The sequence below is a fragment of the Homo sapiens genome, chromosome 8, assembly GCF_000001405.40.
Source record: "Homo sapiens chromosome 8, GRCh38.p14 Primary Assembly".
In the NCBI taxonomy this organism is placed as follows: Eukaryota; Metazoa; Chordata; class Mammalia; order Primates; family Hominidae; genus Homo; species Homo sapiens.
The window spans coordinates 66,144,991-66,162,820 of NC_000008.11; the positions used below are offsets into that span (position 1 = coordinate 66,144,991).

The window sequence follows — 17,830 nt, forward strand, 5'->3', positions numbered from 1 at the left end:
AGAGTCATCACTGTCAGTAGCTAGGTGGCCTCTGAGAACATTTTTTTTTCATGGCACATATCTGTTCCCTCATCAGCTTAGAGGGCAAATTGATAACCTGAGGTGTTTATTGTTCCCTGACTTTCACAGCACTTTGATGGTCTTGAAGCCAAGAAAGATTAGGGGACATCTAAGTTAGTCTCTTGTGTGTGGGTTCTACCTCAAAGAGTGTGAAAAAATAGGAGACTTCATTTCATGGAGTATTTCACATTTGAATATGACATTAGGTTAACCTGAACATTTTGAGTTAATTTCTAAAAGTCTGTAAGTTCCAATTTCGTAATTCCAAAGAAGAGGCATGTATTTTTGCCGTTTCAGAAACAGATTTATCTAACTCTTACCATTTTTTGCATAGAATTATATTAAAAGCTAATTAAACAAGAGAAAAAAGTTTTTTCCATTAGGAATTAGAAAATATAATGATTTTATATTTATCATTTATGATACTTTTTTTTGTTCATTATTCTCCAAAACAATGGAAAATTATGGCAGGTTATTAGATCATACAATGCCAGGTACAAAGTCAGTGGTTGGTGAATTTTGTTGAAAGAACTAGGAATATAATTCTGAAACAATTTAAGATGCCTTGCCTTTAAAAAATCTACCTTAAGCATAGTGAATTTGGGTTTTGTTTTTTTTTTCTCTTTTGGAGGTGGAGTCTCACTCTGTCACCCAGGCTGGAGGGCAATGGCGCGATCTTGGCACACTGCAGCCTCCACCTCCAGCCTTGGCCTCCCAAAGTGCTAGGATTACAGGTGTGAGCCACTGCACCTGGCCAGTACATTTGTTAAAAGGCATATATTCCATTTACAAGCACTTCATATAATTTTTTAAAGTTACTTAAAATATGGGCCCAGCTGGGTGTGGTGAGAGTAGCAATGACCCAGGAGTTCAAAGACCTTGACTGTAGGCCAGGCACCAATAATAAATGGTCGGATGGCCTTGAGAAAGTGACAGCTCTGCTGGGTTTCAGTTTCCACATGAGTGACATGATTGATTTGGAGCAGGTTACTTCTAATATTCCATGCAGCTTCAAAATTCCACAACTGAATAATTCAGGTTAAGGAATTTGTACCTAAATTTAATAGACACTGATCCAGTACCAATATATGCCAGGTAATATTATAAGCACTTTACAAAGTATTTAATGATATAATAATTTTAATAAAGCATAGACCGCATATGGGGTAGCATTTCCTGCACTATGAAGTATAAACAAATGATAGTAGTTTTACTAACATTCAATATAAGTTATTTAAAAAAACAGAATAGAAATAAAATAATGCTTGGAATTGCAAGTAATATAGGAATGAAATTAGTTATTCCATTTAAACTGCCAAAAAAAATTATATGGTCAAAATAAGTGATTTAATCTTTATTTGACTTGAGAGAGTACACTAGATTACACATGCTTCACATCTGTCTCATTGTAAATGACTTGGCTGCCATAAACTTGAATGTTCTCACATATTAAATCACATAGGAGAAAATTTTTGTGAATCAAAGACTTTCTACCTGTATTACATCTTAATATAATACTCATATTATAAATGTTTCAAGTGCACAACTCATTTGGGAGAAACAAGCTGGAAACCATTATATGATCACAGTAGAGCTTCTAAATATCAGAGAGGCTTATTTCATGTGTACAGTGGGCACCTGGTTGCCTGAAGGTTGGAACAAAAGATAATACAGTGAAAGAGAGTTTGATTGGAAAGCTACTAATAGGTTTCAGTTTCTAGGCCTGGTTGAACAGTCCGACTCTCAAGCTAAAGGGCTGGAAATGAGTGGAAATTTGTCAAGCCAGGCAATTTCCACATCTTGACATGCTGCATGGGCCCTTGTTCCATTACTTTCACAACTGCTAGGACTTCAAGCATTTTCATCCCCTCCTCAACCTCCTTTACTCCTATTCCTCCTTAAGGTCAAGTTCAAGTACTAATTCCTCTGAGAAACTCTTCCTGAGTCAACATTTCTGGCTCCCCTCAAAGTTCCTCCACCTACACAAAGGGTTGGACAAAGATTCCATAAATGCTTCTAAAGCATCTGGTATAAATCTCTAAAATATTTACATTATTCAGCCTACCATATTGAATTACATTATTGGTCTATAGTCTTTCTCAGTGAACTGTGAGCTCCTTGAGAATAGGAACTATGTTAATTCTTTTTTGGATCCCCAGAGTCTTGACACAAATGACATGCATTGTTTGTTAAATCCATGAATGAATGGGTGGATGACAGTGGTAAGGCATTTACTATTAAAATAGTTGGCACCACTGGATCTCCATGCATTATAATTTGGTTGGGAACTGTGATGAGAATTGACTGTTCCAAGGAAGGCAATGGAGTAAGGGATGTATTTCTTGCACATTTGCAGAGTATCTTCATAATCAACAATTTGGTTTAGGTCATTCTCCCTGACTCCATACTGAGAATAGTAGAGAAATTGAGAGGAAATGAAACACATTAAAAAAAAAATCTATTCCGCCAGGATTGGTGGCTCACGCCTGTAATCCCAGCACTTTGGGAGGCCGAGGCGGGTGGATCATGAGGTCAGGAGTTTGAGATCAGCCTGACCAATATGGTGAAACTCCTTCTTTACTAAAAATACAAAAATTAGCCGGGCAAGGTGGCATGTGCCTGTAATCCCAGCTACTCAGGAGCCTGAGGCAGGAGAATCACTTGAACCTGGGAGGTGGAGCTTGCAGTGAGCCGAGATCGCGCCATTGCACTCCAGCGTGGGTGACAGAGCATGACTCCATCTCAAAAAAAAAAAAAAAAAAAAAAACCACAAAATCTATTCAACAGATATTTAGTGAACAGCTACTATCCAAGGTGCTCTGTGTCCTAGGCAGACCCAGATTCTACCCTCAAAAAAAATATACTTTGGATATTTAAGAAATTCACATAAAGGAAGAAAGCAATACATGACATAAAAGACTTCAATGTTTACCAAAATGAAAGAATATGTAATAAAGGGTATAGAATGGTCAGAGATGTCAGAAATAAATTTGCTGGATTCCCAAGAAGCTCTCACTGTGCGGGAGAGCTAGGTTAGATCACTATGGCTCACAACCTGCTCTCAGCTATAAAGGTCCTGGACCCAGAGATGGTCAAGTCCAAGGAGATTGGCATACATGCACACCAAGCTTACCAGGGATTGAAAAACCAAAAGGCCAATGACTAGATGAACTGGATAATTAATTATGATTTAAAGATGGGCCCAGACTAAAGGGATCTGGATGGTACTGGAGATACTTCAGCCACACAACACAAATGTGCAAGCCAGACTTCCAACACAGCCTTTCTCTCCAAGAGCATAGACCAGATACAGTATTACCCATTCTTAGGCAGTATTGGATAAATAGAGGATCTGGTAGATACAGATATATGCTATCAATGGTAACTATTATGAGATTTCAGAAAGTTAAAAGTTGCATTCAGCCATAAACATCAAGGGACACTTTATGGAAGAAGTGGTAGTCTGACAATGTCTTTGAAATTGCATAGAGTTTGCAGTGGTGACTTGGGGAAGAACACTGTAGACAGAAGGGAAAGCATGAACAAAGAAAGTGAGTGGTTTATTTTTGCTGGAATTCAGGGTATACAATGGAGGATAGTAGAATGTTATGAGAGAAATTGGAACCAGATCATGGAGGGGTCTTGAAAGCTAGTTAGGAAGTTTAAGTGTTATTCTTTGTGTAATAGGGAGTCATCATAGAAAAAAACATGATTAAGGCCGGGCACGGTGGCTCACGCCTGTAATCCCAGCACTTTGGGAGGCTGAGGTGGGCGGATCACTGTAGGTCAGGAGTTCAAGACCGGCCTGGCCAATGTGGTGAAACCCCATCTCTACTAAAAATTCAAAAATTAGCTGGGTGTGGTGGCAGGTGCCTGTAATTCTAGCTACTTGGGATGCTGAGGCAGGAGAATTGCCTGAACCTGGGAGGCGGAGGTTGCAATGAGCCGAGATCACACCACTGTACTCTAGCGTGGGCAACAGAGCTAGACTCTGTCTCAAAGAAGAAAGAAAGGAAAGAACAAAAAAACATGATTAGAACTGTACTCTGAGAAAATTAACTTGGTTGCAGTGTGTAAGTTGACTGGGAGGAGGGAATCCTAGCTGCAGAGGCCTTTGGGAAGCTACAAATTCTATATAGGAGGACTGAAACTAGGACAATATTGGTATAGGTGGAGCAGAGACTTTAAGGTACAAACCAGGAAGTATCATAGTATTTTCCTTGCATGCACACACATGCACACACACTCCAAAGCAAAATATAACCTATAACCTATGTAACCCAAATATAATATAAAAGAAAATCATTCTTTATTTCTATGAAATTCTCCATTTATAAAGAACAGAAGATTGAAAAACCATTGATTCATGTAGCCAATTTAATTGAGTTTTAGATAGTCTAAATATCAAATTTGTTAAAAATGGAATTTCCAAAGCACCAACATAGTGGGTATCCATACCTAAATAGACATCTTCAGGGAAAAGAAAAAAATATCCTACATAAGTAAATGTTCTTCTTTCCCAGGATAACTAGGTGATTTCTCCAAATCGACTTTGTTTCAAATACTTTCTAACATTAGCTAACCCAACTAATAGGAATGTTGCAGAAAACAGAAACAAGAGCTTTGTGAGAAGTTTGATTACCTGTATGGCATTTTGGAGGAGAGGAAGAATGAAATGACCCAAGTCATTACCCGAACCCAAGAGGAGAAACTGGAACATGTCCGTGCTCTGATCAAAAAGTATTCTGATCATTTGGAGAACGTCTCAAAGTTGGTTGAGTCAGGAATTCAGTTTATGGATGAGCCAGAAATGGCAGTGTTTCTGCAGGTAAGTCTCTTTTTGGCACCAAAGTAACAACCCAAAAGGTGGGTGTTGGAAAATTAGTTATCACATTTTTATTATTTTATGTACATTTCAGTTTTTATTTATTTTACCAACTAAAATATAAACCCCATGTGCTTATATATTAATCTATTTAAACAACTTAAATAGCATGTCTATGATACTGCTTAAATCTAATAGGGTTCTGTTATAAGACAGCAGTTATTTATGACATTTAGAAACTAAGCTATGAGATTCTCAGAGTCAACAAAGGAAATAATTGTCTTACCACTGTCTTTTGTGGAAATAATTTAAGTAAGACTATCTTTTGTTTGCTTTCACAGAATGCCAAAACCCTGCTAAAAAAGTAAGAACTTTTTATTTTATGTAAAAATGCATATTTTCACCTTTACCCAAGGCTATCCAATTTTCAACAGTGACAGAAAGTGGCAACTTGTCTTTGTTGCAGAATCTCGGAAGCATCAAAGGCATTTCAGATGGAGAAAATAGAACATGGCTATGAGAACATGAACCACTTCACAGTCAACCTCAATAGAGAAGAAAAGATAATACGTGAAATTGACTTTTACAGAGGTTTGTTATTCTTTTGACCATTTGGCCGAAGTTGCAGGTGTGTGAAAGCTGCCGAAGAGTTGGGTGGGAGGAAAGCGGGGATTCAGAATCACCTCCAGAATCAATGTCGACAACTTTACAAGGATCATATCCAATGTGAAGCTCTATTTCATTACAGGATCACATCGTTTGTTGACAGTGTTTATTTAGCTTTGCACATATGGTGCCTTTTTTTTTTTTTGATGGACTCTCACTCTGTTGCCCAGCCTAGAGTGCAATGGCACGATCTTGGCTCACTGGAACCTCCACCTCCTGGGTTCAAGCGATTCTCCCGCCTCAGCCTCCTGAGTAGCTGGGATTACAGGCACCTGCCACCACACCCGGCTAATTTTTGAATTATTAGAGAGGTAGGGTTTCGCCATGTTGGCCAGGCTGGTCTCGAACTTCTGACCTCAGGTGATCCACCTGCCTTGGCCTCCCAAAGTGCTGGGATTACAGAAGTGAGCCACCATGCCCGGCCTGGTGCCTATTTTAATGTCAGGTTGGGTATTTGACTCTTGATAAGCAAATGCTTCATAATTGATAATGATGATATCTCAACTTCAATCCTATGCACAGTGTTAGCCAAAATAATGTAAAGTGTCAGCAGGAGCAAGGTTAAAGATGAGATAAAAACAATACATAGGAGGCATGTGGGTTAGATATTGCAGCACATCAACTTAATCAAAATTTAGAGGACAAGAATAGTAACAACTCATAGAATAAGTCACAACCTGAACATAAACCTGGGTCTGTGTGACTAGTTATACTCCCTGAGCTATAACCACATTCCTACCTTTTGGCCCAGAAGTCCCATTTCTGAAATTTTATCCTGATTAAATAATTGAAAAGTGAAAAACAATCTTGGAGCTGACCAAAACTTTGATCACTTTGACTCATGCTAGCCCACCTAGATGATCACACCCCTCAGCTAGACCACTAGACCACTAGTAATGCTATGAGGCTGCACCAACATCCACAGACAAAATTTTAAAGGCAAATCTTTAGGATGTATCTTTTTAAAAAAATCGCTTAATATTGCCTGTCCTTAATGTCGCCTGAGGGAATATTAAGATCAGTGGGTCAGGAAAAGAGTCACGGCATTCCAGCACTTTGGGAGGCCAAGGCGGGTGGATCACTTAAGGCCAGGAGTTTGAGACCAGCCTGGCCAACATGGTGAAACCCCATCTCTACTAAAAATACAAAAAAATTAGCCGGGCGTGGTGGCGTACGCCTGTAATCCCAGCTACTCCAGAGGCAGAGGCAGGAGAATCACTTGAACCCAGGAAGCGGAGGTTCCAGTGAGCTGAGATTGCACCACTGCACTCCAGCCTGGGTGACAGAGTGAGACTCTGTCTCAAAAAATAATAAATAAATAAATAAATAAATAAATAAATAAATAAATAAATAAAAGAGTCGTGACATTAATTATGGCAAAAGTCAGTATTCACTGAACAACAGAGGTAGAAAGCTAAAATGACAAAAGGGCTTTGTATGTTTTCTGAGACAGGGAAGACAGTTGCACTTCCATTTAATCTGACAGAGATAAATAAGTGACAATCCCAGGCCTCCAGGAGCTTGCAGATGTGGCAGACTGTAATAAAAATGTGGACGGGCTCTGGAAGGTGAAGGGCATTATGCACAGCAGAGGTGAAGACTTTGTACTGGGGAGGAGAACAAGGAGGATAGGGATGGTTCCTTCACATTTGTCCAGTCCACATTCCACTAGAAGCACAAAGCCCTGGCACGGCACACTTGGACCATTGTCAAGTGTCTGTCAGAGAAAAACTCCCCAGCCTTGACCTTAACTAGGGCTATAAGCACTGGCCATTAACTGTGTCCATGGCTGCAGAGATAGTTATAACAATTTACAAGATACCTTACCTTACCAGAAGATGAAGATGAAGAAGAAGAAGAAGGCGGAGAAGGAGAAAAAGAAGGAGAAGGAGAAGTGGGAGGAGAAGCAGTAGAAGTGGAAGAGGTAGAAAATGTTCAAACAGAGTTTCCAGGAGAAGATGAAAACCCAGAAAAAGCTTCAGAGCTCTCTCAGGTGGAGCTGCAGGCTGCCCCTGGGGCACTTCCAGTTTCCTCTCCAGAGCCACCTCCAGCCCTGCCACCTGCTGCGGATGCCCCTGTGACACAGGTAACCCCTCCTGAGTCTCTTTCTACAGGGCACATGGGCGTGTCTCCTTATGGAATAGCCTAAACAATTTACCCTATTCTGCCTTAAGAAAAAGATAACTATATGCCAGACATTCGTATATGGTAGACGAAAGATTTCAGGACAGTCCTCATGTCGGGGAGAAAAGTCCTCTAGGTGATTCAACAGGTTCTTTGTTGTTATTGTTAGTTAACAAAATTTAATACAACTTTCCCACCAGTAATGCCCTCAAATCAAAGGCAATCTTTGTCTGGAAATTGTGTGTGTGTGTGTGTGTGTGTGTGTGTGTGTGTGTGTGTGTCCATGTCTGTGTGTCATGTTAATTCATAGAGAGCTGATATCATGGGGACTGGGTCTGCTCTTTGTTACTTAGTGAATGTATATGTAGGGTATAGGATGAGAAATAAATAGCATACAGAGTAAGAAATAAAAGTGATTATACTTTCAGAACTTTGAATTTTCTGTAGATAATTGAGGGGGTAAATAGAGAAACTACACTAGTTTATGTTCCTGTTGCTTACCCTGAAATACAACTTATGTATTTTTCCTTCAGTGAGCAAACAATGAAGCCTGGTTTTCTATGGATTTGTCATTTGATGAGATTGTGTGTTGACAGAATTGTTTAAAACATATCTTAAGAAATAAGCTCACCCCAGATGCTGCACCTAATTGGTTGACCTCATGTTTCTAATACGTCACCGTCCAGTTTTCAAGCCTTTGTGCAGACTCCATGATACTTCAGCAGACAGGATCCCAACCTTTTGAGTTTGCAGGCAGTGCAGACTCATCAGAGAGGAGTCCTGCTTCTGCAACTGCTTTTGAAGTGGATTGAAACAAAACTCCAGAGGGGGATCTCAGAGATGGAACTGTATTTCTATGCTCTGTCTCCACAGGAAACCAGGCTAAAATGCCATTTATAGTCTAGAATTTTTAAATTCTGAGCATTTCAGTTGTATTAAAATTGAAAGAGGTATAGTAACTAAGTGAGGGTTGGATTTGATCAATAAGATTAATTTTTGTTTTTTATAATGAGGTTTTTGGGACTCACGTATAAAGCCAACAAATTATTCTAGTCAATAGTTTGACCCTTTTCCCATATCTGATATTTTATAACCAACATTCACTGAGGTTTCTGCTCTCTGCCTGCCTGGGCTCCCAGTGAGTGAAAGACAAGCTCAGAAAAGAAGAGGGCACCCATCCAGATGCTGGACAGAGGGGCACTGTAGTCACCATTCTGCCCTTAGCGCTTCTGGAGGGTGGGATGAACTAAAACGGCCACCAAGGCACTGCATGCAGGGAGCGCACAGTGTTCAAACCCAAAGGGAACTAAAATCAACTGCTTTTTCTTCTTCTTCTTCTTTTTTTTTTTCTTTACTTTTGAATTTATCTGTCCTGATTAAGGGGGAGGTTGTACCCACTGGCTCTGAGCAGACCACAGAGTCTGAAACTCCAGTCCCTGCAGCAGCAGAAACTGCGGATCCCTTGTTTTACCCTAGTTGGTATAAAGGCCAAACCCGGAAAGCCACCACCAACCCACCTTGCACCCCAGGGAGCGAAGGTCTGGGGCAAATAGGGCCTCCAGGTTCTGAGGATTCGAATGTACGGAAGGCAGAAGTGGCAGCAGCCGCAGCGAGTGAGAGGGCAGCTGTGAGTGGTAAGGAAACTAGTGCACCTGCAGCTACTTCTCAGGTTAGTGATGATGCACTTGTGTCTATGCTTTCCCGCGCCCCCTAGGGTCCCACTGGAACAGGCCACAGCAAGAAGAAAAAGGGTTTTCAAAGGGGCAGAGAGAAACCTCAGCCAGGGGAAAAGTACAGAAACAATTCATCCCCCAATGTTGGCTTGTTTTGAGCTCTATATAAAAGAAAACATAAAACAAAACAAATTTGAGTTCACTCTCCTGGTGCATGGTGACCTCACACCTGGCTTCCCAGGGGAGGGGTGCAAGTGAGCCTGGCCCTTAGGCATGCTACTGAGCGCTGCTTCATCTGCAGTGACTGGCTGTGTCCCCAGTCCTCCTTACCAACGGCCACTTGCCCTTGCTCAGCCTTCCCTGTGTCCTCCTTGGGCTTCTAAAGACTAATCCCCTGCTTTTGTGTCATTCCCAGCAACCCCCAAGGAGCACACTTGAGTTTTAAGTCTGTTCTGGAGAATAACCTCTGATTCATGGATTCTTGGAGTGTGCTGGCTACAGCTAGACAGAGACAGTCTTGGCTTGATTAAACCTGTGCTTCCTAAGCATGTACTCCTGGGAGTGGAAAAGCACAGGTGCTCCTCCACAGAGATTTTTTTCAAGAGACTCTTTCTTTATATGATGAGTTTGAAGTCCATGTCTTCCCCCTAACACTTGGTTAGATGTTTGCATGTCTTGAAGAGTCCACAGAAGAAATCTTTTACAATTTCTTCACAAGGAAGAATGTTCATGGTGACTCCATACTCATGAGCATTCTTAAATGATGTGTAGGGTGTGAGTGTTGCCCAGGCAAGAAGCTGCCAGAAAGCACTCTCCAGTTCCATGCTCCTGGGTCATCAGGTGATTGATTATGAACCACAAACAACATGTTCTCAAAAATCAGACAATGACTTATTATTTTGATTGTATCTGCCCAAGAGACTTCAATTCCATGAGGTAGTAAAAGGAAATGATTTTGGAAAATTAAAAGTAACATGCTTTGGGGTTGGATGTTTATTTTCACAGATAAAATGACAAAAATAAATGTTTGGTGGGAAGAAATCTTATGAGGTGGTTTTTAGGTAAAAGATGCAGTAGACTGATTATTTCTAGAAAATGTGTGGCAATTCTTATACATGGTAGTAGAAGCTGTGTGCGGAGGGGCTGTTTTCTGAAAACAGTAGTGCACTACCCCATGAAGAGCACGTAGTAGGGCTCAAGCCAAAATGAAAAGTCCATTGAAATAATGTTGAAAATAATTATTTGTGATAATATCAGTGAAGCTTTCTTCTTGTTTTCTCACAGGAGTTAGTAATCTGCCTAGCGCTTTTGGCTTTTCTTATTCTTCACTACATCTGGAGTCAGATTCAGTGCTTGATTTTTACTTTAATGGGTAGGAAATATTTTCTTTTCCCTTGACTAACATCTCACATAGTTTCTTCCATAATGTTCCTCTTCTATAGGCCCAGAGATTAATTTCTCCCCAAATCTTGAGGCTCAGTCCTCCCAAAAGAACATTGTTCTCAGATTATACTGGAGGCCTCAAGCTCACACAATGCAATCGCCTCAAGACCTCTTTCTGAGGAGAATTGCTCCATTATCTATTCCTGCATGGAGGGGAACCTTGACTGAGAACAGTAACTCCATGGGCAATTATTCAGTAATCCAGGAGGAGCAAACCCTCCAGAATGGTCATTAGGGGAGGCCAGTTTCAAGTGTCCATAATGCGGTGAGGACTTACTGCTCGTAGAGAAAGGAGCGGCAAAGGACTCCTGCAGGAAAATGCAGGTTTCCATAGATTAAGTACAAGCATTTCATCTGCTTACACCAGAGATGCCCAGGAGGTGGCCAAGTGACTCCTCGTGGGATGATGTTCTAGGCAGTTCCTATGCAGGTGAGCAGGTGGGTTCTCTTTGAACCCTCAGACTCTACAGAGTTTCTCCTGGGAGAGGAGGTCCCTGAGAGAAAGATGCCCTGACTGAAGAAATATCTGGGGGATTGCAGCCACGTGAGACCTGAATGAATTAACAGCCAGAGGATCAATGTGCACTTACCAGCTATCAGGAATTAGAACCAAGAACTAAGCCATAAAGTCATCAAGCAGTCCATTTATATTATTTCCGAGTCACCGTTCTCATAGCCAAGCCTTTGCTTGATTGCTGTTATGAGGTTTGCTTGAGGACTGACATCATAATCCTTTAATACCCTTTTGAAAGTTCTCAGTTTAATTAATAATATTTAAAGATTCCAACTTCCATGTACTTTTGTGTAAATGACCCTGCTGGGCCTGAGACCCAACTCCTTGTTCCTGTAGCTCAAAGGCAGTTCAGGGTCAATGGTGCTGAAAAGCCTCGGCTATTTCTGGCTCACTGACTTTTCCCTGGGTTGACACTGACTCTTCTGGAAGCTCCCTTCATAGACTTTCTGCCTCATTAGCCATCTGCTCAGCAATGGCGGTGGCGTCTCCATTGGTCTCTGCCGTGTCTGGAACTGTGTGTGAGCAGGACCTGCCCACAATGTCCAATAGTCAGCTGGAAACCTGTGCACCCTAGAGTGTCCTGAGTGTCCTTACAGTCTGCTCAGCTGCCCAACTCCTTCAGACATTATCTGTGGTAAAAAGGAGTGGGAGGATGTATTGGCCATGGACTCAGAGGGGTGAATGGTGAGAGAGAAAACTCCATGCTTTATTGGAACCAGGACCTAATTGTGGATCTGAATAATTGTCTGAAGGGTTCTGTTTACATTCTGAGAATTCGGGTTTAGGGCTTTGTCACTACATATATGTCTTGTATTGCTTCTCTGAGGCTGCAGAGGGAGTGTCATGCTTCAAGGCTGTGATCCACTGAGCCCATGTCATGTATGCTGACATCCACGTGCCTGCCTAGGGAGAGGAGGGTGGGGCAGGTGGAGCAGGTGTGGGGAGGGCGTTGACATCCAGTATTGCAAAAAACCTTACTGTATAGTTCTTGGTGTTTGAGGAAGGGCCTTTCACATAGAGAAGGACACCTGTTCATGATGGAGTACTACTCTTTGATCCCAGAAATGGGATATGGGCAGGTTGATAGAGACCTCACTATAGTAGCAAATTCCCGGCCTCTGAGAATATTTTGCAGGTCTGATTCACCTTCACCACTTCAGAACCCAGTTTACCAGATTCATATTTGTCCAGTTCAAGGTTAGAGTGCTAGAATTTCACATTTCATCACTAGGCTTACCTTGAGTATTTAGGATGTGGTAAGAGTTCTCTTTGATTCAGTGGTGGTCTTATCTCTCTTTACTAGGTGGTCCCGTGTCAGAGTAATGCTGCCTTTAAAACTCAGAAGCATCTCAGGCTCACTTGCTGATCTGTAAACTACATTCAGCCCACAACAGCTGAACTGCAAACCTTTTAGAAGCAAATGCTCTATTTCCTGGTGCTTTCCTTACATCCATGTACACAGTGAAACATGCCCTCGATTTTACTGCCTGTGGTTTCTGGTGCTGAACAATTTCTGCTTTATCACATACCTTACCTTCTCTCTTCACCCAAGTACACAGGCAAAAAAAACCGGTCATGGCAAAAACCAAACATCAGCTTCCTCTACGAGTGATGGACAGGACCACTACTTTTTGTTAGATCAGAAGAGTGCTGTAGCTCCCCCATGGGCATTCTCTAAGAAAAAGCAAGGTTTGGATTCAGCCTTGTGGTGAATTTGAACTCATCAAAGGCCCCAGTTTCCTTGGGCTTCTACAGGATCTCTATTTGGTGGATTAACTCAGCAGCTGCTCTGGCTGATACTTGAGCTGGACACAGCAGCTGCCTCAGGGTAAGAGGATCTCCCCACCACACACACACACACACACACACACACACACACACACACACACACACACACACACACACACTGCAGCCAGAGCCAATTGCTTTGGAGATAGGGACTTTGGCATTGAAATCCTTGTAATTTCTCCCTCTATATAGAACCACAGCTCAGTATTTCACCAGAACACAAAGTTGCAGTGATAAGAGGCCCTGAAAGCTTTACTATATCATAATGATTTGTTGTTTCAAAAATATCCATTTTTTACATTCTATTCTTCAAGCCTGAAAAATAGACAAACAAATTGGGTAGAAATTTTGCCAAAGCTCAAGACTGTGGGGATCCAAAAGTTAGAAGAAAGGACTTCAGATCTGGTCCTGGAGCTGCTTCAGTGTCTGACTCTGGGCATCTAAATTCTTGAAGCCTCAGTTTTCTCATCAGGAAAATAAAGAGACTACTTAACGAATAGATTCATTTATTTTCACACTGGGCTGTGAAAAATCTAGTACTAGGAATTTTATAATTGGTTTCAGGTATTTTCATTGGGAGGGTTATGGACTTAGGCCTGACACAAGTCATTATGAGTGACAATAATTATAATAGATTCTCAGTGAGTTAGAGAGTCCATTGCATTTCTCAAAGTACATTTCTTGACTTGAAGCTCTTACATAAATCCCAATTTCCCAAACCATTTTCCAGATTTCTCCCTAGGCACTCATTTAGCTGAATGTTTACACAGCTGCTATTACCTCCTTCAGATTCCATGAACTCCACAGCCATGATGACTCCACTCTGAAGTCGCCTAAAGTTACTTACAGACCTCACTGCTCAGTAGAGCAAAGACAGGATGTACACAGCAGAGGCAGACACAGAACAGTCAGTGGATGAAGAAATGAAAGATGTGATTTTTTAAATCAACTTTATTGAGATATACATACACTAAAATTTACCCATTTTAAGTGTACAGTTCAGTGAGTTTGGACAAATGTGTAGCATTGTATAGCTACCACCACAGTTAAGATGTAGAATATTTTCATCACCCCAGAAAGTTCCCTCATGTGTCTTTACCATTAAATCCCTTCCCCGCATCCCTGCCTCTGGCAACCACTGATGTGTTTGATTGTCATTGTAGTTCTGCCAGTTCCAAACTGTCTTGTGAATGAAAACATACAGTATTGTATGCTTTTATAACTGGCTTTTTTTCACTTAGCATAATGCTTCTGAGATTTGTTTATTTTGTGGCATGTATAGTATCTCAGTTCTTTTTATTCCCAAGTGGTAGTCTATTGTGTGGGTATGCCACTAGTTATTTATCTGTTCATCACTTGATGGATGTTTGTGTTCTTAGCAGCTTTGGCTATAATAAGTAAAGCTGCTGTGAACACTCACATATAGGTCTTTGTGTGAATACATGTTTTCATCTCTCTTGAGTAAATGAAGGAGTGGAATTGCTGGATTGTATGGTAAGTTTGTGGTTAACTTCATAAGAAACTGTCAAACTGTTTTCCGTAGTGGTTATTCAACTTTTTCTGTTTCCACCAGCAAGGTAAGAGAGCTCTACCTACTCTACGTTCTACCAGCTCATGGTATTGTGTCAATCTTTCATATTTCAGCTATTCTGGGTGGATGATTATGCATGGTTTCTCCTTGTGGTTTTAATTTGCATTTTGACAAAGACTAATGGTTAGCACCTTTTCTTGTGCTTATTGGTCATCTTTATATTTTCTTTGGTGAAGTAAATGTACACATCTTTTGCCCAACTTTTTATTAAGTTGTTTATCTTCCTAGAAGTTCTTTATGTGTTCTGGATAAAACTTCCTTATCAGATAGATGTTTTGCAAATAATTTCTCCCAGTCTGTGGCTTTCCCTTTCATTTCTTTTAATTTTTTATTTTTTTATTTCAGTAGGTTTTTGGGGAACAGGTGGTGTTTGATTACCTGAATAAGTTTTTTAGTGGTGATTTCTGAGATTTTGGTGCACCCAAGCAGTGTACACTGTACCCAATGTGTAGTCTTCTATCCCTCCCCAACCCCTACTCTTTCTCCCAAGTCTCCAAAGTCCCATGTATTATTCTTATGCCTTTGCATCCTTATAGCTTAGCTCCCACATATAAGTGAGAACATACAATGTTTGGTTTTCCATTCCTGAGTTACTTCACTTAGAATAATAGTCTCCAATTCCATCCAGGTTGTTGCAAATGCCCTTACTTCATTCCTTTTTATGGCTGAGTAGTATTCCATGGTGTGTGTGTGTGTGTGTGTGTGTGTGTGTATCACATTTTCTTTAGCCACTCATTGACTGATGGGCATTTGGGCTGGTTTCATAATTTTTCAATTGTGAATTGTGCTGCTATAAACATGCATATGATGCAAGTGCAAGTATCTTTTTTGTATAATGACTTATTTTCCTCTGGGCAGATACCCAGTAGTGGTATTGCTGGATCAAATGGTAGATCTACTTTTAGTTCTTTAAGGAATCTCCAAACTGTTTTCCATAGTGGTTGTACTAGTTTACATTCCCACCAACAGTGTAAATTGTTCCCTTGTCACCTCATCCCCACCAACATTTTTTTTTAATATTTTGATTATGGCCATTCTTGCAGGAGTGAGGTGGTATCGCATTGTGGTTTTGATTTGCATTTCCCTGATAATTAGTGAGGTTGAGCATTTTTCTGTACGCTTGTTGGCCATTTGTATATCTTCTTTTGAGAATTGTCTGTTCATGTCCTTTGCCCACTTTTTGATGGGATTGTTTTTTTTTTTTTCTTGCTGATTTGTTTGAGTTCCTTGTAGATTCTGGATATTAGTCCTTTGTTGGATGTATAGATTGTGCAGATTTTCTTCCACTCTATGGGTTGTCTATTAACTCTGCTGATATTTCTTTGGCTGTGCAGAAGCTTTTTAGTTTAATTAAGTCCCATCTATTTGTCTTTGTTTTTGTTATATTTGCTTTTGGATTCTTGGTCATGAAGTCTTTTCCTAAGCCAATGTCTAGAAGGGTTTTTCTGATGCTATTGTCTAGAATTTTTATAGTTTCAGGTCTTAGATTTAAGATGGATTTAAGATCCATCTTGAGTTGATTTTTGTATAAGGTGCAATATGAGGATCAAGTTTCATTCTACTACATGTGGCTTGCCAATTATCCCAGCACCATTTGTTAAATATGGTGTCCTTTCCCCACTTTATGTTTTTGTTTGTTTTGTCGAAGATCAGTTGGCTGTAAGTATTTGGCTTTATTTCCGGGTTCTCTATTCTGTTCCATTGGTCTATATGCCTATTTTTATACCAGTACCATGCTGTTTTGGTAATTATGGCCTTCTAGGATAGTTTGAAGTTGGGTAATGTGATGCCTACTGATTTGTTCTTTTTGCTTAGTCTTTCTTTGGCTTATGAGGGCTCTTTTTTGGTTCTATATGAATTTTGGATTCTTTTTTCTAGTTCTATGAAGAATGATGGTGTATTTTGATGGGAATTGCATTGAATTTTTAGATTGCTTTTGGCAGTATGGTTATTGATTCTACCCATCCATGAGCATGGGATGTGTTTCCATTTGTTTGTATCATCTATGATTTCTTTCCACAGTGTTTTGTAGATTTCCTGGTAGAGGTCATTCATGTCCTTGGTTAGGTATATTCCTAAGGTTTTTTTTTTTTTTTTGCAAGTATTGTGAAAGGGGTTTGAGTTCTTGATTTGATCAAGAATAGCTTGGCTGCTGCTGGTGTATAGCAGAGCTACTGATTTGTGTATGTTAATTTTGTATCCTGAAACTTTGCTGAATTCATTTACCAGTTCTAGAGCTTTTTGGATGAGTCATTAGGATTTTGTAGATATATGATCCTATCATCAGCAAACAGCAATAGTTTGACTTCCTCTTTACCAATTTGGATGCCTTTATTCCTTCTCTTATCTGATTGCTCTGGCTAGGATTTCCAGTACTATGTTGAATAGAAATGGTGAAAGTGGGCATCCTTGTCTTGTTCTTGTTCTCAGGGGGGATGCTTTCAACTTCTCCCTGTTCAGTATTTTGTTGGCTGTGGGTTTGTTGTAAATGGTTTTTTATTACCTTAAGGTATGTCCCTTCTATGCTAATTTTGCTGAGGGTTTTAATCATAAAGGGATGCTGGATTTTGTCAAATGCTTTTTCTGCATCTGTTGAGATGATCATGTGATTTTTGTTTTTAATTCTGTTTATGTGGCATATCACATTTATTGGCTTATGTATATTAAACCATCCCTGCATTCCTGGTATGAAACCCACTTGATCATGGTGAACTAAATTTTTAATATGCTGTTGGATTCAGTTTGCTAGTATTTTGTTGAGGATTTTTGCATCTATGTTCATCAGGGATATTGGTCTGTAGTTTTTTTTTTTTGTAATGTCCTCCCCTGGTTTTGGTATTAGGGTAATACTGGCTTCATAGAATGATTTAAGGAGGATTCCCTTTTTCTCTCTCTTTTGGAGTAGGGTCAATAGGATTGGTACCAATTCTTCTTTGAATGTCTGATAGAATTCAGCTATGAATCCATCTGGTCCTAGACCTTTTTTTGTTGGCAATGTTTTTATTACCATTTCAATCTCACTGCTTGTTATTCATTTCTTAGAATTTTTTGAGGAGTAAACATTTTTAGTTTTGATGAAGCCCAATTTTGTTTTCTTTATAGTTTGTGCTTTTTATGTCCCATTTAAGAAAACTTTGCTTAACTCA

The 17,830-nt window shown here is 40.2% G+C and overlaps 1 protein-coding gene across 8 annotated transcripts in view; it reads left to right on the forward strand.

Annotated features, from left to right (window-relative positions):
- Positions 1–17,830, forward strand: part of TRIM55 (tripartite motif containing 55) — a 62,135-nt gene that overhangs the window by 31,640 nt on the left and 12,665 nt on the right. For 3 of the 8 annotated variants that reach the window (XM_011517617.3, XM_017013908.2, NM_184085.2), the window contains exons 5-9: positions 4,655–4,888; positions 5,227–5,249; positions 5,352–5,476; positions 7,387–7,637; positions 9,057–9,344. The exons of 1 other annotated variant lie outside the window; for it this stretch is intronic. In XM_011517617.3, the coding sequence (XP_011515919.1) occupies positions 4,655–4,888; positions 5,227–5,249; positions 5,352–5,476; positions 7,387–7,637; positions 9,057–9,344 (921 nt within the window). Of the gene's footprint in view, positions 1–4,654; positions 4,889–5,226; positions 5,250–5,351; positions 5,477–7,386; positions 7,638–9,056; positions 9,345–10,632; positions 10,721–17,830 lie in introns of all 8 variants that reach the window. 4 more of the 8 variants (NM_033058.3, XM_005251316.5, NM_184086.2 and 1 more) reach the window with 4 other exon arrangements.